Source organism: Homo sapiens, chromosome 7 (assembly GCF_000001405.40).
Source record: "Homo sapiens chromosome 7, GRCh38.p14 Primary Assembly".
NCBI classification, from domain to species: Eukaryota; Metazoa; Chordata; class Mammalia; order Primates; family Hominidae; genus Homo; species Homo sapiens.
Window position 1 is genome coordinate 101995191 of NC_000007.14, and position 21141 is coordinate 102016331.

Here is a 21141-nt window from a genome sequence, read left to right on the forward strand (position 1 = left end):
CTCACTCCAGCCATTCTGCCTGGATGCCTTAGGAACACTCCTCATACCCTCCTAAGAGTCCCATCCAGGCCGCCATGGCTCACTTATCCCTGCCACGTGGACTCCAGAAAACATTCTCAGTAGAAACCCACAGAAACTGTTCCCAGTCACAAAGCACGCCAGGTGCATCCTGTTCTTTCTGTCATTTAAAAAAATGAATGTGTCTCTATCCCTCCTTCTTATAAAACAGTACCCTCTCACCCTGCATGGCTTAAATTCTGGTCTATCTTACGCCTTTGGATTCAATGACCTTCATCAAATGTCTGCAAGGCAAGGGCCATTTACAGTAAACATGGTGGGAACTTAGCAATGTACTTGGGAAATAAATTCTGGTCACCAAATAGAGAAGCAAATGCAACAAATAATCCCACAGACCATTATAAAATGTCTTTTAGACGATAGTTGTCAAGAATTAGAGTTACTCGTCCAAAACTGTTGTTGGTGTTTGGAAGCATCCAAACATCGGCTGGCCCATGTCCCATAGGGGCGTCTGCTTAGCACCCTGGTGAGTGGAGAGTTGTGTGTATGGGGACTTAGCAGAGTGGGAAGCAGCTTGCAGGAAGGTTGCCAACGCTTATTAATATTTACCAAAAAGATGCAGGACCGGCTGCGGTGGCTCACGACAGTCCTCCCAGCACTTAGGGAGGCCGAGGTGGGTGGATCACCTGAGGTCAGGGGTCCAAGACCAGCCTGGGTAAAATGTAGAAACTCCATCTCTCCTAAAAATACAAAAATTAGCCGGGCATGGTGGTGCACACCTGTAGCCCAGCTACTCGGGAGGCTGAGGCAGGAGAATCGCTTGAACCCAGGAGGCGGAGATTGCATGAGATGAGATCGCGCCACTGCACTCCAGCCTGGGCAACAAAGAGCAAAACTCCATCCAAAAAAAAAAAAGAGAGAGAGATGCAGGACCATCTGCCTATGTTCCATTTTGGTGATGATATCTGACCTTCTGGGAGAGAGAACATCTTACCCCACAGACCCAGGAAGGCATGCACATGAGGATGGCAGGAGAGTGGCTGTGGACACTTCCTGTGTCACCATCCTCTGCTCTAGGTGTGTACTGGTCACAGGCACAGGACAGAAGGCTCCCCAGAGTCCGATCCCGTCTCTTGAGCTCAGCTGGCTATCCTGGAACCCCCCAACCCGCTGACCTTTGGAAGTGGACAGCAGCCCACGCCTGCAGGTGGTCCGGCCCTGCTGTGCAGCCCTGTTACAGCACGTTGTGTTTTTCTGGCTTGTCTCTGCCAAGCCCCATGTGACCATGGAGGGGGCCCCGAGCAGACCTGGGGGTGGCGGTACTGAGGCAGAGGCAGGCGCACAGTGGTTTCCAAGGGAGAAAATGAATTCATGATCTAAAATGCAAAACCTTAATTATGCCTGACTCCTTTCCTCCCTCCCTCCCTCATTTCTCTCCCTCCCTCCCTCCCTCCCTCCATCCATCCTTCCCTCGTTTCCTTCCCTCCGTCTTTTTCCTTCCCTCCCTTACTTCCTTCCTCTCTTCCTCCTACCCTTCATTGACCTTTCATTTTGTGACTTTGTCAAATACAGCCCCAGGCTATCTTCTCTTTCTCCTCTGCTCCAGGTTGTTTTCTCTTGCTCCTCTGCCGCATACATACCCTTCCACCCTGCGTCTGCCCATGGAAATCTCGTGTCCCCTCCAGTATTCCTGCCCACAGTGGCCTTTGTTAGGAAATTCCGGCACAGTCTCCTCACAGGGCAGCCCTTCTGGGAATCGCTCCCCTGCGCTCGTGTGCACTCCCCTGCGCTCGTGTGCACTCCGGCCCAGCCTTCAGAGCTGCTTACCTGGCTCTTGTCTTGTGTCCTCTGACCGCCCATCAGGGCCTGCCCATGGGGCTCTGTCTGCAGGGGAGCAGCCCCAAACACAGTCCTTGTCAGCACGCCGATCTGGACCTGAATTGGGCCCTTGCACACACTAGCTGTGGACCGAAGACAAATCAGGTTCTCCCCGTCCCCAGAGTGGGGAAAGCGGTAGTGTGGGCCTCCCTGGGGTGCCCATGATGGTGTAATGAGTGCGTGCACGGAGCCTGCTCCACGTCTCTATGGACATTTCCATAACTTTTCTTTTGGTTTGTTTTTTTGTTTGTTTGTTTGTTTGTTTTGTTTTCTCTGAGACGGAGCCTCACTCTGTCACCCAGGTTGGAGCGCAGTGGTGCAATCTGGGCTCACTGCAACCTCCGCCTCTTGGGTTCAAGAGATTCTCCTGCCCCAGCCTCCCGAATAGCTGGGATTACAGGTGCCCACCACCACGCCTGGCTACTTTTTGTATTTTTAGTACAAACGGGGTTTCACCAGGTTGGTCAGGCTGGTCTCAAACTTCTGAACTCAAATGATCCTCCCGCCTCAGCCTCCCAAAGTGCTGGGATTATAGGCATGAGCCACCAGGCCCAGCTAACTTTTCAATTTATAAACACTAATACCTACTTGTGTCCCGTGGCCTCATCTCAGCCATGTGAGGCCGATGTTGTGCCCATTGTACAGATGGCAGAGCGCAGCTGTGTGTGCAGTGCGGATTGCAGGACTGTGCCTGAGTCTGGGACAGGGTCTTTGCCACAGCTCTTGGGATCCTCTCTTCTCATCAATGTTATCTCAGAGAGCTTTCACTGTTGGATAAGAGGTTGACCCTGGACCCCACCCCAGTGCTGCTGGGCCCTGTGGGCACTCACAGAGCAGTCCTTGCTGGCCTGACTCATATTCCTGAGTCTCAGGGGTTCCTGTGCCACCAGAGAACGAACTCCCCAACTGTCAGTCACTCAGCTCAGTGCCTGTATCTTAAATTGGGCACCTTTAGCAAAAGTGCAGTGTGGAACTGTGTATCCTGCTGCCCCAGCCCAGGACCTAGCACAGAGCCGGGTACTGTGCCATAATAAGCCTTGGTAAAGGCTGCTGTAGGCTTCACAGTACAGATGGCAGGGCTGTGCCCGGGCTGCAGGCTCCCATTTACCAGATGTGTGCAGTGTGGATTGCAGGGCTGTGCCCGGCTGCAGGAACACATTTACTGGATGTGTGCAGCACGGATTGTAGGGCTGTGCGTGGGCTGCAGGCACACATTTACTGGGTGTGCACAGTGCGGATTGCAGGACTGTGTCTGAGCTGTAGGTGCACATTTACCGAGTGTGCACAGTGTGGATTTCAAGACTTAGAGATGAGACAGCCAGTTCCTGTCCTGCCCAAGGGTCGGGCAGGGATACGCATCAAAGACCCTGGGCATCTTTCCCAGCCCGGGCGGTGCCCCCAGCCATCGCTTCTCAGCAGGACAGCCGGCAGGGCATCTGTCGTCTTCGTCCACCAGCATCACGACCTGTTTGGGGGAGAAGTAGTATTTCCACACCCCACTCAGGGCGATAGCGTTTGAGGAAGAAGAGAAAGAGAGACTTTTGGCTTTCCTGATTTCAATCTTTCTGAAGGTGGACCCATCACTGGTGAAAAAAATTGGTTTTTTTGGAACCAAGAAAGCAGCCTCGGCCTCCAGTGCCTGACCAGGCTCTGGCCAGGGTATAGGATCCTGGCGAGGATGCTGTGCTGTGTTGGGCAGGAAGCCACTTCCTCCCTCTAAACGTCAGTGTCCAGCTCTCTCTTCGTCGCTTTCTTAAGTTGAGGGAGCTGCTATGCCAAGGGCAAGCAAGAAACAGGCCCCTGAGCCCCCAGGTTCACGGCTGGGCTTTGAAGCAGGAGTTTCCTCTTCGCCCTCGGGCCACACCTCTGTAGGGTGCCTCTGCAGCATTTCCCTCCTCGGGCAGGAGCCTAGCTTGCAGAGGACAGACAGGCAGGAATGCTGGCCTCCATCGTGCCACCAGATCCTGTCCCCAGGCAAGCAGGAGGGGAGGGGAGGCAGTCTCATCACTGCAGCAGGAGGGGCCACCTCTGGAGTCCGCATGGCTGTGGCTGGGCTGTGCTTCTAGAAGCAGCAGCTGTCGCCTCCACTCTCTAGGGATTTTTATCTTTCCTTTACAAACTTTTTTTTACCTTTTTTTTTTTTTTTTTTTTTTTAAGATGGGGTCTTGCTTGTTGCCCAGGCTGGTCTCAAATTCCTGGACTCATGTGATCCTCCTGCCTCAGCCTCCCAAAGTGATGGGATTACAGGCATGAGCCACCGCGCCTGGCCGATTTTTATCTTTCCTACCAGCCTTTTCATATGAGCTGAGCCTGCAGGCTGTGCCTAAGCATAGCCCTTTGAACTTGATTGACCATGAGCTTTGAAAGGCTGCTTTGCAGTCTCAGTTCTCTGGCAAATACACCAGCTCGGTTAAGACGACTTTTCTTTGATTGATGTCGGCTACATCTAGAAAGCAGGATTGCCACCACTCCTCGAAGCACCCCACGATTAGAGTGTCTGAGCGCTGCTTCTGCTCTGCTGAGGCTGGTGACAAATTGCCTGGAAAGACCTCCTGACAGAGGATGACGGGCTCGTCTGCAGCAGGGCCGCTTGCAGCCCAATTGCTTCCAAGATTAAACCTTTCCAAGGCAGTCTGCACTGCCCCATACACAGTTGGGCTGCTTGGTTTAAGATTATGGATGAATGTACTGAATTGGATCTCATTTAAAAATATATAGGTTTTGAAGTTTGAGGGCTCAGGAAGAAAATGAAATCCTTTGTCCCAAACCAGGGCCTGGTTTTATCAGTGGCATGCGTGCGTGTGTGTGTGCGTGTGTGTGTGCATGTGTGTTCTAAAGAGACCCTAGTGGCAAGGCACAGTGGCTTATGCCTGTAATCCCAGCACTCTGGGACGCCAAGGCAGGAGGATCACCTGAGGTCAGGAGCTCAAGACCAGCCTGGCCAACATGGCGAAACCCCGTCTCTATAAAAGTACAAAAATTAGCTAGGCGTGGTAGCAGGCAACTGTAATCCCAGTTACTCAGAAGGCTGAGGCAGGAGAATCCCTTGAATCCGGGCGGCGGAGGTTGTAGTGAGCCAAGATCGCACCATTGCACTCCAGCCTGGGTGACAAGAGCAAAACTCTATCTCAAAAAAAAAAAGAGAGAGAGAGAGAGACCCTAGTTTAGCTCTTTTGGAAAGCAGCTGCCCTGCATTGAGACACATGTGTCTTAAGCTTGCTTCTGGACGCTAGCACTAAAATAGCAATCGGACTCTGGATGCCTCTCACAGGCAACTTGTCCACAAAACCACTTCCAAATGTTTTCCCAAGTGCATGCGTCTGACCCAGGCTTCTTTCTCATCCGCCTCTTGTGGAAGGAAGATCGCATCTTGAGTTCTAAAGATTTTTAAACAATCTCATACCTGCAGAGCAATGTATATTTCAAGACCATTGACATTGGAAAACATTCTTGTTTAATCAATGACTCTGGTCCTGCTTTAGATTTCTCCAAAAATAGCCAGATCCCGTGGGCACGTTGAAGCTGCAGCCCATTGTGCAGAATTGCTTAATGTGTACCTCACCTGGTTTTGGCCTTCACACAACTGTTGCTCCCTTAGCAAGGGGTTCATTTGGTTGGGTTTTATGTGCAGGAATGCTGGTGGGTTGGGTGAGTATTAGTATTTAAGGGAAGGTTTTGTTTTTGTTTTGTTTTGTTTGTAAGAGCTAGGGTCTCACTTTGTCACCCAGGCTGGAGTGCAGTGGTGCGATCATAGCTCACTGCAACCTCAAACTCTTGGGCTCAGGTGATCCTCCCACCTCACCCTCCCTGAGTAGATGGGACTATAGGGTGTGCATCACCATGCCAGGCTAATACTGTTTATTTGTATTTTTGTAGAGGTGGGGTATCGCTTTGTTGCCCAGGCTGGTCTTGAACTCATGGGCCTCAAGTAATCATCCCACCTTGGCCTCCCAAAGCATTGGGATTACAGGCATGAGTCACCATGCCTGGCCATAGGGGAAGATATTTTTAAACAAGATTTGCTTTTGACTAGTGTCCTGCATTTGTTAAAGACCCTAGATTGCTCCAGGTGTTCTAAAAATAACCAAGCCCACCTGCCTGCCTTCTAGATATGGGCTGGAGGGCCTGCCAGGAGCATTCTTGGGGATTGCCAGTAGCCCCAGTTAGCCCAGGCTGACTTACACTTCCTCCCTCTCTTAACCAAAATAATGTTGAATTTTTGTGTTCCTTGTCTTTTAACTGAAAAGCTCCTGTTTGTTTGTTTGTTTATTTTCTGAGACAGAGTCTTGCTCTCTTGCCCAGGCTGGAGTGCAGTGGTACGATCTCAGCTCACTGCATCCTCCGCCTCCCAAGTTCAAGCCATTATCCTGCCTCAGCCTCCCGAGTAGCTGGGACTGCAGGTGCCCTCCATCACACCAAGCTAATTTTTGTATATTTAGTAGAGACAGGGTTTCACCATGTTGGCCAGGCTGGTCTCGAACTCCTGACCTCAGGTGATCCACCGCCTCAGCCTCCCAAAAGTGCTGGGATTACAGGCGTGAGCCACCGCGCCCGGCCCCGTTTGGTGTTTTTAATGCTGTATTGCCATTATTTGCACTTATTCTTTTGCAAAATTTCAGCACCTGGTGGTCAGGATGTTCCTCCTGGCCATGCACATGCAGGACACACAACAGGTTCTTGATAAGCGTGTGCTGAGCAAAACTCACTCCTTCCTTCTGGACACATTCATCACAGGTGTGCTCGAAGCAGCAAGAGCTTGCCCCTGCTCAGAAGTGCTTAGTTGCTAATTAGATGTTTCCGCAAAGGTACTGAAATTGGAGGCATCAGTGTTCATCCTTTAGCTATAGCGTTGGAAAAATGTGATTGATTTACAACTGTGACTAAAAAGGTGTTTAGAGAACTGTTCTATGTAAAACAAGACAGTAAGCTGGGCACGGTGGCTCGTGCCTGTAATCCCAGCACTTTGAGAGGCTGAGATGGGTGAGTTGCTTGAGCTCAGGAGTTCTAGACCAGCCGGGGCAACATAACGAGACCCCCATCTCTATAAAAATATATATTTTTTAAAAAGCTGAGTATGGTGGTGCATGCCTGCAGTCCCAGCTACTCCAGAGGCTGAGGCAGGAGGATCTCTTCAGCCCAGGAGGTGGAGGTTGCAGTGAGCTGTGCTTGCACCACTGCACTCCAGCCTGGGCCTCAGAGTGAGACCCTGTCTCAGAAAGAAAAAATAAATATATATAGTGTGTGTGTGTGGTTGCAACTTTTGCACATCACCTTGAGTTCTGGGCAAGGGGAGAGGAACTGAGATTGGTCACTCCCTTCTTGCGTGGATGGCTGTGGGATTTGGGTGAGTTTTTTGCTCCATAGTGCTTTTCACCCTGTATTTTCTCATAGGTTTTGCCCCACTGGGGCTTTGTATAGAGATTGGGGCTCTCAGGTCCCATATGGCACTTACTAGCGAGAGTTCCGAGTGGCCAGTCCCCTCCCTGCCCTGGCATTGGTACAAGGGGGCCTTGCTGTTGGACCACAGTCTTCCAAGAGTCCAGCTCCCCTGTTCTATCGAGTCTGAAGCAAGGTCCCACTTGGGAGTTACAGATCAGGCTCCTTTGATGTCAGAGCATCGCAGCGGAATTCTAGGCCACCCGGCAGTGAGTGCTCTCTGCAGATCTGTGAGTGGTGCTGGGCCGCCCTGCCACCTCCATCCCTAGCACCGTATCTGTGTGAAAAAGCTGTGACCTGCCCCTTGGGTGGAAGCCTTCCAGTCCTTGGAAGGGGAATCTTTGCTGCTGCTACTGTCTGCAGAGAGACTCTTTTTATTTTTATTTATTTATTTTTTTTGATGGAGTCTTGCTCTGTCACCCAGGCTGGAGTGCAATGGCACAATCTCGGCTCACTGCAACCTCCACCTCCTGGGTTCAAGCAATTCTCCTGCCTCTGCCTCCTGAGTAGCTGGGACTACAGGTGCTTGCCACCACACCCAGCTAATTTTTGTATTTTTAGTAGAGACAGGGTTTCGTGTTGGCCAGGCTCGTCTCAAACTCCTGACCTCAGGTGATCTGCCCGCCTCGGCCTCCCAAAGTGCTGGGATTACAGGCGTGAGCCACCAAGCTCGGCCCAGAGGGACTCTCTAGAGAGGCCCCTTGATCCCACAAGGGGCGGGGGTCTCTGGCCAGGCACAGCCCCTCCCCACTAAGCCCAGCACCTGGTGCCGAACACACACACACACACACACACACACACACACACACACACGCCCGCCCCCCGCTCCACTGTTCTGTTGTCAGTTGTGTTCGTTGTTTTCTTGTAAATAAACAGTATGACAATAAAGGGAAGTTACTTCTTAGCTGCTCAGAAGGTGACCAGAGCAGGGCTGGAGTGCCAGCCTTGCATTCATTGTTTGCTTTATTGCAAGGCTGCTTGGAATTGAAGGGGATCTCCGTTCGAGTCTGAGCTGGAGGAAGGAAGGGGCTCCTGTACCATGTATAGAACTTGGGCTCTCCCCGGGGTCAGGGGCCTGGGCTCTGGTGCAGCCCCACCACTTCATCAGGTCACCCCAGGTGGTTTCAGCCTCTGATTTCTCATCCCTGGAATGGGGTGTTTGCAGCCTCGTAGGTTGCTATGGGGATTGAATGAGATATGTTCATGAGCCAGTAAGGCAGCCAAGATGTCACTTACATGGAACTTACATTGCAACCCCAGTTTTAGAATAACATAGGATATTAAATATCACCATCTCCTTGAATACTCATAGTCCGCAGTTTGCTTCATGTTATAAGGTGTTTAGTTCTAGGCTGAGCCTGTAATCCCGCCACTTTGGGAGACTAAGGTGGGAGGATTGCTTGAGGCCAGGGGTTTAGAACCAGCCTGGGCAACATAGTGAGACCCCTGTCTCTACAAACTATATGTATACACGTATAAATTTTATAAAGATGTTTAGTTGTTCTGAATTTCCTAAAAAATACAGCTTAACTTTTTTGTCTTCCTTTACCTGCACCTGGATGCAGTGGGAAAGATTTTCCCAGTAGCACAAGGTGGACCAGGTGAGCTATCCTCACCCAATGGGGCTGAAAGACAGGGCTTTGATATCCTGCCCCAGAGCCCGGCTGTTACCACATGGTTTGATTTGCGATGCCAAGCAGGCTTCCTTACGGGTCCACACACCTCTGGTTTTTAGCTTGAGATTGGGGCAGCTGTTCCTCCTCTGGCCCAGCCAGGTATAATCAGGTACAAAGGAAAGTGACCTAGAATGAAGAGGTTGCCCTGACCTGGTGGTGGAATTGGAGCCTGGGAGCACGGGTCGGATGGCTTAGTTCATCTGTTTGGCAGTGGATCAAATCCCCCTCCTCCCACATACTTGATTTATGTGGACTGGGAAAGAATGTTGGGTTTCAACATAAAGAAAACAAATTTGGCTGATAACTCGTAAATCACAATAAACTTTCATTCCAAGAGTGTTCTGGGCTTCTAAGAAATATATTCCTATCTCACATCTCAGTTGATATTCACAGCCACCATTGAGCTAGAGTCATTCCCAGGTGGAGAAACTGAGGCTTGGGAGTTATGCCTGCCTTGGAGAGGGATGGGGCTAAGACTTGGGCTCTGGTGTCCTGACCACCGAGCCTGGTTCCTTCCACGTGGTCTGATTCCTGGGATGTGAAGCAGCCATCCTCACAGGGCCACACACCTGGACAGGTACACAGTGCAGCAAGTAGAGAGGCAAAGAAACAAGGGAATTGATCAGGGGTCCACACGCTTTCTCTAAAAGAGCCTGGTGCTACATATGTTAGTCTTGACGGAGAAAGAGGCAAAATCAGGATATCATGTAGGCACTTATATAACCACTTTAAATGCAACCATTTAAAAGTGTAAAAACCATTCTTAGCTCATGGGCCATAAAAATCCCAGCAGCTGGCTGGTTTTGGCCGGCTTGCCGCAGCTTGCTGACCCCTGGGAGAGAGCATCTGCTGCTATTGCAGGCAGGGGACTGCAGGTCATCCCCCTGTTTGGGTCCCACTCCTGCCCGTCATTCAGGCTCTGTCAGCTTCTACCCAGAAGTACCTGGGAGTCGGGGGTTTTGCTGTGTCACAGAGAACTTGGCTCTCGATAGAGTCGGAAAGGAATTCTGGGAAAACTCTAGAGATGCATTAAAAAATCTCCACTGGGCCGGGCGCGGTGGCTCACGCCTGTAATCCCTGAGGCAGGCACATTACCTGAGGCCAGGAGTTCGAGACCGGCCTGGTTTTTTGTTTTGTTTTGTTTTGTTTTGTTGAGACAGGGTCTTGCTCCATCATCCAGGCTGGAGTGCAGTAGCACGATCATAGCTCCACTGCAGCCTCGAGCTCCTGGGCTCAAGCGATGCTCCCACCTCAGCCTCCCAAGTAGCTGGAACCACAGGTGTGCACCACTGCACCCGGGTTAATTTTTTTATTTTTGCAGAGACGATAGTCTCCCTATCTTTCCCAGGCTGGTCTCAAACTCCTGCCCTCAAGTGATCCTCCTGCCTCAGCCTCCCACAGGGCTGGGGTTATAGACGTGAGCCACTGCACCTGGCCTCTTTCTTCTTGAGGCTAGTTTTCCTGACTGCGTGATTCCCAAAGCTTCACCCCACTGATGCTGGGTTCCCCTCCTCTGTCTACTCCACCTGCTGAGGCTGGGGCTCTCAGGGACACAGTCAGCAGCTCAGCCTCTGGAAAGACCTGGAAAGATCACATCCTTCTGGGAACCTGCTTCTGGAGGCACAAGTAGTGTAGCTCCTCTTAGGCCCTTTCGATGAAGTAAGAGCAGCTCATTAGCATCCCAGGCTACAAAGCCTAAAACCCTTTGCTTTTACCAAAACCAGAGGGTCTAAAGAGAAAGGTCACGAGGAGCGAGCGGCCGCGTGGATGAGGTTGGCCAGAGAAACTGGTTTGTTTTGGAAGCCGATGGAAGATGCGCTTGGAAGGCTAAGGCTGCCGAGGTTGAAGTCCGTCATTCTCAGTGCAGACCCTAGGGAGGAAGTAGCAGGACCCCAGTGGGGCTGCAGGCATTCAGAAAGAGAGCTGCCTGGGGTTTCCCTTCAGAACCTCCCTCCTTTTAACCCGGGAGTAAAGAGAAAAAGACCCGCGGGGTCCACTGGCTCGGAAGTCGGTCTCTTTCAGTTTGGAGCCTCCAGTTGGAAACCTGCCTTTTAATGGCCAGGCTGATGGTCTAGTTACTCTTTGAACAGGGAAGCCTCGTCAGGCTCTCTGCTGACCACGCCTCAGTGCTCCCTCGAAGGACAACTCTGGAATGCCAGTTTTTATCTCATCTCGGTAGAATGGATTTTTTTTCTTTTCTTTTCTTTTCTTTCTTTGAGACAGAGTCTCGCGCTATCACCCACGCTAGAGTGAAATGGCACGATATCGGCTCACTGCAACCTCCGCCTCCCGGGTTCAAGCAATTCTCATGCCTCAGCCTCCCGAGTAACTGGGATTACAGGAGCGCGCCACCACACCTGGCTAATTTTTGTATTTTTAGTAGAGATGGAGTTTCACTATGTTGGCCAGGCTGGTCTCAGGCGATCCACCCGCTTCAGCCTCCCAAAGTGCTGGGATTACAGGCGTGAGCCACCGTGCCCGGCCCTAGAATGAATTTTTCTTTTAGGGAAAATAAGGTTATTGGTGAATGGGTTTGGGCTGTCATCTTCAGAAACTGATTTCATCTAGAACAGTTTGTGACGGGCAGATGTGGAATAAAACCACTGGATGCATCAGGCGTCACTGCCAAGGGTGCAAGGGGCTGCTCCATGCTGGGCGTGCGAGAGGAGCAAGAAGCCGTCCCCGCCCACCACGGTGCAGGCCGGGATGCAGCGGAAAGCCCTTGCTTCTTAGATTTCCCACACAAAAGTGTATTTCTTGTAGATTTCGCCAGCGCGGGCCTCCTCCTCTGCTTGGCAGTGGCTCTGCACGAGCTGCCTTGGGATGGATCTCTCATCTTTGCTGCTGGCCTCATCCAAGGAACAGACCCCATGCACGGAGCCTAGATGCCCCGAGGTCTTCACTGATGGCCCTCTGAATTTTTATTTTGTTTGTATTTCATTTGTTACTGATTGAATTTTTGAGACAGGGTCTCGCTCTGTAGCGCAGGCTGGAGTGCAGGGGCGCGATCCTGGCTCACTGCAGCCTCGGCCTCCTGTACCTAAGCCATGGCCCTCTCTGACTTTGAACCCCTCAGTTCATTCTCAGATCAGACCACTCACTCACTGAGGCCCTCGGCTCTTCCACAGGTCTCAGCCTTTTGCCCCTTATAGTTTTTAGTTGTTGCAGCCTTTCTGTTCTCTTCCCCTCTCCTGTTAAGGGGACATTTCCAAGCACCCTGGCCACAGAACCTCCTCACCTCCCACCCTCCGCCCCTGGGTGCCAGGGCCTGGGTTCTCTGTGGAAGTCCTGCCAGCTCCGGGTATTTCCCACGTGGATTTCTCATCATCTTCACCACCAGATCAGTTCCTGGCCTGCACCCCTCCTGTCTGGCTTGTGGCAGGGGCTGCCACCCTCACCTGGGCCCTAAACTTCTACAAAGCCCCACTCTCTCCTGTTCCCGTCAGTCTGCTTGCCAAGTCCAGTTTATTTTAATTCTGGGGAACGTTGTCTTCCTCCTCCCCCCTCCCTCGCCACCACCCACCTCTGGTGTTTTTTTTGTTTTGTTTTGTTTTGTTTTTTTTGAGATAGAGTCTCACTCTTGTCACCCAGGCTGGAGTGCAGTGGTGCGATCTCGGCTCACTGCAACCTCCGCCTCCTGGGTTCAAGCGATTCTACTGTCTCAGCCTCCTGAGTAGCTGGGACTACAGGCACCCGCCACCACACCCGGCTAATTTTTGTATTTTTAGTAGAGGCAAGGTTTCACCATGTTGGTCAGGCTGGTCTCGAACTCCTGACCTCAGGTGATCTACCTGCCTTGGCCTCCCAAAGTGCTGGGATTACAGGCACCACTTCTGGTTCTGTTACCTTCGTCCAAACTTGTATTTCCCAGCTGGTATCTTCCATCTCCAGGCTTTCCCCTCTGGCCTGTCCTTTAGCAGGAGTCACCTTCCTGAAGCAGACCCTGGTCTGGTCTCTGCGTACTACCTTTTGCATGGTTGGTGGCCGTCCACCCGCCTCTCAGGCCATGTCTGGGTTCTTCTAGGGGCTTCGGTGATCTGGGAGCCTGTCCCCGCTGGCCCCCTCTCCCATGTCTTACTCCATCAGCTTCACCTTGTTTGTATCTCTGGATCTCCTCTTTTTTCCTTCTGTTTGTATCTTGTCTCTTTCTAGAAAGCCCCCCCACCTCTACTCGCCCCTCTGTGGCAAATATCACCCAATTCAGGTGCCCCCAGCCCAGCAAAGAGGGATTTTCATTCCTTGGGCCCCCGTTGTAGGCTAGCTGCGCCTGTCTTTCGGCACATTTCATTTCCTGCCTGGTATTTCGGTCGTGTGCGTGTCTTTATTCTCCTCGTGTAATCCCTGAGGTGCAGAGTGCGTGTCTGTCCTCCTCTGCCCTCTCTAGAGATTGGGATATGACCAGTGTTCAGCCCCCAACCAAAAGAGCCTAAGAACCCCAGGTCCCCAGCCTGTCCTGCTCTGCTGGGGGCCCACATGCCTGGGGACAAGGCACCTTTCCTTCCCTGACCTTGACTAGGACAGGACATGGGGTAGGGCCTGAACATTGAGCAATTGTCAAACTGCCTACTTACGATGAACAAAATAGCTTTTCAGGAGGCGAGACCACAGCACAGTCATGGTGAATCCTGATGCGCACCCCAGGTCTTTTATCAGGATTTTTGTTTTTCCTGGTGGGCACAGATGTAGGTGGAGCAGATCAGAGGCCTCTCAGGTTCTTGATCACTCATGGCAGTTCAGGCCTGCCAGTAGTGAGGTCAGAGATCCATACAGCAGGGGAGAGAAGGGAGGTACAGGGAACCCTCGGCCCCGCGTGCTCCAGCAGGTCTGCATGATTAACCTGAATTGCAGTGTTCAGAGGCTCGGCCTGCCAGCCACAGCGGTTCCAGATGAAATGCAGCTTAGAAGGCAGCATGGTGTAGTAGCTTTGGCGCCAGCCGCACCCAGAGTTTGGATTGTAGCCAGATGGCCTCAGGTGCAATGTATAACCTCTGGGAATTCCAGATTTCCTATTTACACGACAGGGATGATTCCATACCTGAAGGGCTGTTTGGAAGCATCTAGAAGCAAGCACAGTGGAGTGGCTGTCATGACGCTGACCGCACAAATGATGGTGTTAGGATCCCTCCACGGATGTGGCCAGGTGACACCCCTCACCTAGGCCGCACAGCACCCTAATGTACACACTGAAGAAAGGCTGCGTGGGGCTGCAGAGCGGCTCATTTCTAAGAAGGCCAAAGAAATTGCTCAGTCCAGACCAGGGAACCCAGTTTCTCTTTTAGAGGTGGGATCTTGCTATGTTGCTCAGGCTGGTCTCGAACTCCTGACCTCAAGTGATCCTCCCGCCTTGGCCTCCCAAAGTGTTGAGATTCCAGGCATGAACCACTGCACCCAACCTGTAGCCTCTTTCTACAAGTAAAATAATTCAGGTGAGTTCAGGCCCACGCCAGGTCTTAAACCCTGGCCCTCTGCCCATCTTCCAGCCTCCACCCCTTCTCTCTCCTTACAGAATCTTCTGTTCTTCTGCACACCAGCGTGGCAGACAGGTTGGCCAAGGGCCTTGGACTTCTTTATCTCTAGTACATGTTCCTGTAAATTTAAACCTCCTCAGTTGGGTAAAAGCTTTGGAATTACTAACATTCCTTTTGTGCTGCCTAACGTTCTTGCCATTTAAAAGATTAGCAGGCATAATTTCAGTGAGCCTTCGTGACTGGCGTGCCTCACTTAGCTTAATCCCTGGTTGGTACATGTTAAAACCTATAAAGACAGCCTCTCCAGCACACATGGGGAGCTTGAAAATGAAAGAAAGGTTGCTCTGACCTCTCAGAACTGCGGACTTCTTAAAAAAGAAAGAGTGAGGTGGGCGGCCTCCCTTGCTGCCGGTGCTAGATTCCATGATATGAAACAGCAAGGGTGCAGCTGGGTGCGGTGGCTCATGCCTGTAATCCCAGCACTTCGGAGGCGGGGGTGGGCAGATCACCTGAGGTCAGGAGTTCGAGACCAGCCTGGCCAACATGGTGAAACCCCGTCTCTACTAAATAATACAAAAATTAGCCAGGCATGGTGGTGAGTGCCTGTAGCCCCAGCTACTCAGGAGGCTGAAGCAGGAGAATCACTTGAACCCAGAGGTGGAGGTTGCAGTGAGCTGAGATCACGCCACTGTACTCCAGCCTGGGCAACAGAACAAGAAGACTCTGTCTCAAAAAAAAAAAAAAAAAAAAACTGACTTGGATATGTGCTTACATAAGAAAGGGAGATTCACCAAGTGAACCATGCATAGCATCTCTTAAATCTGTATCATGGAATTCGTGATTGGGCCTCTCTTTCATATCAGGCAACATACATGTGATGTACATACCTGTAGCTTCCGGGAAAGGGAAGGAAGTAGAGATGACATTGTCTGTTACTCGTTTGTATGTGTGTGTGCGTATTTAAGTAAATATGTGTGTGCATAGGGACATGTCACATGCATGTGTGGCACATTTATAGGATGAAGAGGTGTCTAAAAGACATTGAGGAAACTCAGTGAAGGAGTTCTGCCGGCGGGCGTGAGGACCACGCTAAAAGATGCCGGTTGTGCTTTGTGTCTAAGCTGAAAGCATGGATATCATTTTATAAAAGTAAAATTATATTGGCCAGGCGTGGTGGCTCATGCCTGTAGTCCCAGCACATTGGGAGGCCGAGGTGGGCGGATCACCTGAGGTCGAGAGTGTGAGACCAGCCTGACCAACATGGAGAAACCCCCATCTCTACTAAAAATACAAAAAATTAGCCAGGCATGGTGGCACATGCCTGTAATCCCAGCTACTCAGGAGGCTGAAGCAGGAGAATCACTTGAACCTGGGAGGCGGAGGTTGCAGTGAGCCAAGATCATGCCATTGCACTCCAGCCTGGGCAACAAGAGCAAAACTCCATCTCAGAAAAATAAAAAAAAAAAGTAAAATTATATTGTTATTGACGGTCTCTTTGTTCGAGTAAGCCGTCTCTGGATATATCATTGTATGGTGTATTCATGCCAAGGATTTGGTGTGAGTCTTGAAGCATTCACACCAAATTGTGGCCAAGCCCAGCACTGAGAGCGCAGTGGGCGTTCGGAGGACACGTTTGGATTTTGTGATCCTCTGCCTGGCAGGAGCTGCTCAGCCCCTACAGCCCCTTCCCCGAGACCACCAATGCGTTTCTCTTCAGTTTTGCTATTCTCATACGCTGGTGATGGGATTTTGGAGACAAACATGGTCTCTTCTGCTTGCTTGCTTGCTTATTTATTTATTTTTCCTCCCAGGTTCAAGTGATTCTCCTGCCTCAGCCTCCCAAGTAGCTGGGATTACAGGTGTGCGCCACCATGCCCAGCTAATTTTGTGTTTTTAGTAGAGACGGGTTTCACCGTGTTGGCCAGGCTGGTCTTGAACTCCTGACCTCAGGTGACCTGCCCACCTTGGCCTCCCAAAGTGCTGAGATTACAGACATGAGCCACCGCGCCTGGCCTTCTGCCTTTTTTGGTGAACTCCCTGTGGGTGGGAGAACTACCCGGTGGAGTCGGTACCTAACCAGGGCAGGACACGGAGGTACACCCCTCTCATTTTCGGCAGCAGGGTGAGAGGATTTTTATTATCTTACTTAGACACTTGAATTTATTTTTTTATTTTGAGACGGAATTTCGGTCTTGTCACCCAGGCTGGAGTGCAATGGTGTGATCGCTGGTCCCTGGGTTCAAGTGATTCTCCAACCTCAGCCTCCCAAGTAGCTAGGATTACAGGCGCCCATCACCACACCTGGCTAATTTTTGTATTTTTAGTAGAGACGGGGTTTCACCATGTTGGCCATGCTGGTTGACGCTTGAATTTATTTATTTATTTCAGATAATTTTGGACTACAGAAAGGACTCTTTGAAAGGGTATTCTAAAATAATTTCACCCAATTAGGTTTTAAACATAGTCTGCCATATTGTTGATTTCACAGGATTTGCTTTTTTAAAAAAATGTATTTTATTTATTTAGAATTTTTCTTTAAGAGATGGGGTCTCACTCTGTTGCCCAGGCTGGAGTACAGTGGTGCGATCTCGGCTCACTGCAACCTCCGCCTCCCGGGTTGAAGCAATTCTCATGTCTCAGCCTCCCAAGTAGCTGGGACTATAGGTGCGTGCCACCATGCCTGGCTAATTTTTGTATTTTTAGTAGAAACGGGGTTTCACCATGTAGGCCAGGCTGGTCTCGAACTCATGACCTCAAGTCATGCACCTGGCTTGGCCTCCCAAAGTGCTAGGATTATAAGCGTGAGCCACTGTGCCTGGCCTTCAGTAGCTTTTAAAGGTTGTAGCTGAAGATTTTGTACTTGTCACATGGGGGAATATGATAATGAAAGCAGAAGATAGACTAGTCACTCTACTTTTCCCAGCGTCCTCTCTGACTGGACTCTTTGAAGGTACTGCCCAGGGTCATGAAGAGATGGCCCTGGCTGCTTCCAGAAGGTATACATTCCCGTGTCCACTCTGTGTCCTGGAGAGTGGGGGCGGGGGGAGGGGGTTGTCCGTCTTTGTATCTCTGTCTCTCAGTACAAATTTAATGAAGGAATGAATCAATGAATGAATGAAGCAAGCATTCCCCCAGAGAATTCTTAAATCATCTTAGCCGGTCATGGAATTTCCCAGCAAGTCAGCTTTTAGAATCCTGAAAATATTTTCAGTATTCATCTCTTTAAGGAATATATCAAAAGCAGTCAGCACCAACCACGGTTTTTCAGCTGATTCCCAAATGTGTGATAAGAAACACCTAATTCCTTGGGGGAGAAAACTTGTTCAGGTTAAATTCTTGCGGTAATCCTTACGGCCCTGTGGTGTTCGCTAAGATGTAGCAAGAATGTAAATAGCTAGGTACTTTGATCTACCTCAAATACTTACTAGTTTAAACATTCTGCCATTCTGCCGTCATACCAAAAAAAAAAAAAAAGCACCATCCCAGGGTTATGAATGACGTTACTGTCTTTGGACATGCTGTCTTGTGTGGCTGAGACGTAGATCAAGAGAAATTTGTAAGAAAGACAATAAGGTACAAAAATCGCCGAAGCTAATGTCAAGATGGAGATAAATAGATCTATATTTGCCATATATGGTAGTAAAAGAAAAGTCTGTGCAAATTTGCTCGACATTTATGGACTTCTATGATTCATCTACCAGGGCCAGCAGCTCCAGCCAAGAGATATAGAATGTCTTCAACTGTATTTCTTTCCTAAATTGTTTCATTACAAAGAAGCCATGTTGTGTATTCAGAAGAAAATTCCAGGACCGCATGAAAGTCACTATTTGGGAACAGGCCTGAGAAAGCTTGCTTAGAGGAATTCCAAAAGTATTCAAAAGGCAGTTATTGACCAAACACATAATAATTCTCTAAGCATCAACAATTTTCCATAGATCCAAGCTCACATATACAGCGTATTTTCTGTGGCTAGTCACTCCAGAAATAGAGGGTTCTCTGCTTTCTTGACTGATTGACTCATATGCAAACGCTTCTCATTTCATTTTGTTATTTTTTTGAGAAAGGGCTTGTTCTGTCTCCCAGGCTGGAGTGCAGTGGCACAGTCACGGCTCACTGCACCCTCGACCTCTCTGGGCTAAGCCATCCTTCCACCTCAGCCTCCCGAGTAGCTGGGACCATAGGCACACACCACCATGCCTCGCTAATTTTTGTATTTTTTGTAGAGACAGGGTCTCGCCATGTTGCCCAAGCTGGTCTCGAACTCCTGGGCTCAAGCAATCCTCCCACCTCAGCCTCCCAAAGTGCTGGGATTATAGGCATGCATCAACATGCCCAGCCTGTTTTTTGTTTTAATCTGTTATTGAGTAAGGTGCAATTTGTGGCTCCATATACAGGGACAGGTTGCAAAACAGGTACTGAGCCGTGTGTATCCTTCAGGTCCAAGCAGCTTCTAAACTGTGTCTATCTCTGTTCAGGTCCCTGGAACTCTCCTGGGCAGCAAGCTCACAAGAGACCGACCTCTGTGGCCTTCGAAGCGGGTTGCTGTTAGACACACCTTTTAGAAGCTACATTCATAGTATCTCAAAAGACAGACATAAGGGGTACTCGGTATGGCCACCACTCACTCCCACAACACAGCCACCATTTCCCACCCAGAATTTCCTGTGAAATGTGCTCATTTTAAAACAGCACACATCCTGAGAATTGCAAAGTTGGGCATAGAGATCAATACAAATTAGACTTCTTTTTAGATACGCTCTACGCTCTGCAGAGCCCTCTGGGGTCTCCAAGGGCTGGGACCTGCTGGATAAAACTGGATGAAACTAAGTTGCTGCTTCTTTGGTGCCCTTGAATGGACTTTCTTGGCTGCAGTGACGTTAGGTCCGCTTCCTAGCCGCGTGCTGCTCTGCCATCGGGGATGCTAAAGTCGGGGAGGGCCAGGAAGCCTTTCTTTGCTTGGAAGTTTTTGTTTCTCCTTCGCCTGCTAGGTTGGGATAATCCGTTGGGAAGTCTCTGAGCGTCTTTAAACATAAAATCTAGTTTCAAAGGTTTAAATTCCCAAGTTGCCCCCTAAGTTACATGTTGCTTAGGCTTGGTTGCTATCTGTATGGTATAAATAATTCCATTTAGAAATTAAGAAATTATGGGCTGCATTTTTGATGCCAGTGGCTCTGTAGTATCCCCCAACCACCAAAAAAAAAAAAAAAAGAAAAAAAGCATCTAAAAATTGTGAGGTTACCGCTTAGCTCTGTCTTTCTGGCTGCACATGGGTTACCAGGTGCCTTGCCAAGACCCTGCCTCCGTGTCCACCATGCTTTGTGTCTGCAAGTAGATTTACCCATCGTTCATTATTAATTATTCCTCTGAGCAGCTCTGTGAAGCTAGTAAATATTAATAAACAATATGTGCTGATTATGAACCTAAGACAAAAGGATGTCTTTTTCAAGCTGCTTAATTTTAGGTAAACTAGTTGCACACAAGCGATGAATAAACGTGAAGTCAGGCATCCAGGCGGTGAAACAAAATCAAACTGGAACTGCAAAAGGAGAGTGCCTGAGATCTGATTTTATTTTATTTTTGGGATGGAGTCTCACTCTGTCACCCAGGCTGGAGTGCAGTGGCGTGATCTCGGCTCACTGCAACCTCCGCCTCCCAGGTTCACGCAATTCTCCTGCCTCAGCCTCCCAAGTAGCTTGGACTACAGGCACACACCACCATGCCCAGCTAATTTTTGTATTTTAAGTAGAGACGGGGTTTCACTGTGTTGGCCAGGCTGGTCTCGAACTCCTGACCTCAGGTGATCTACCCACTTCAGCCTCCCAAATTGCTGGGGTTACAGGTGTGAGCCACCGCATCCAGCCGAAAGGATACAGTTTATTTAAAGACAAAGGAAAAAGAAAAACCATAATTGTGTTCACTTAGAAACATCTCCCATTTCATACTGATGTCTTTCCTGGTGGTGGTGTCCAAATGCTTATATGTGTGTGAGATTCATTGTTACCATGTTGGGATCAGACTGTAAACAAGCTTTATAAAAGTTCGTGGCTCCTTTCACTCATCCACCCGCTATGCATCGTCCAGATCTGAGTTCACGTGCTCCTTCCCCAAAGGAGCCTTCTCTCCTGTCTAGGGTCAGGTCTGCCTCTTTTTTTCTTTTTCTTTTTTTGGAAGCAGGGTCTCACCCTGTCACCAGGCTGGAGTGTGGTGGCGCGATCACGACTCACTGCAGCCATGACCTCCTAGGCTCAAGCAGTCCTCCCACCTCACTCCCAAGTAGCTGGGATTACAGGCACATGCCACTACACGTGGCTACTTTTTAAAATTTTTTTGTAGAGATGGGATCTTGCTCTGTTGCCCGGGGTGGTCTCGACCTCCTAGGCTCAAGCGATCCTCCCTTAGCCTCCCAAGTAGCTGGGACGACAGGCTCATGCCACCACACCCAGCTAATTTTTTTGATTTTTAGTAGAGATGGGGTCTGGTTATGTTGCCCAGGCTGGTGTTGAGCTCCAGAGCTAAAGCAGTCCTCTCGCCTTAACCTCCCAAAGTGCTGGGATTACAGGCACATGCCCCTGTGCCCGGCCAGGCTTGCCTCTTAAACTCCCTTCGCTCCACATGCCCTTCTGCAGCACCGGCCACAGATAAGTGTCATCCATGCTGGTGGTGAT

General features: G+C 50.0%; 1 protein-coding gene across 25 annotated transcripts in view, besides 2 other annotated features; it reads left to right on the forward strand.

The window, feature by feature from the left end:
* The window catches only part of CUX1 (cut like homeobox 1), a 467952-nt gene that overhangs the window by 179184 nt on the left and 267627 nt on the right, over nucleotides 1-21141 (forward strand). The window lies entirely within an intron of this gene.
* Nucleotides 2648-3335: an enhancer, noted in NCBI's record as "H3K27ac-H3K4me1 hESC enhancer chr7:101641118-101641805 (GRCh37/hg19 assembly coordinates)". NCBI's record gives its function as "activates a minimal SCP1, AML or CMV promoter by ChIP-STARR-seq in naive H9 embryonic stem cells {active_cell/tissue: H9 hESC(naive)}" and the evidence as "EXISTENCE:reporter gene assay evidence [ECO:0000049][PMID:30033119]".
* Nucleotides 3336-4022: an enhancer, noted in NCBI's record as "H3K27ac-H3K4me1 hESC enhancer chr7:101641806-101642492 (GRCh37/hg19 assembly coordinates)". NCBI's record gives its function as "activates a minimal SCP1, AML or CMV promoter by ChIP-STARR-seq in naive H9 embryonic stem cells {active_cell/tissue: H9 hESC(naive)}" and the evidence as "EXISTENCE:reporter gene assay evidence [ECO:0000049][PMID:30033119]".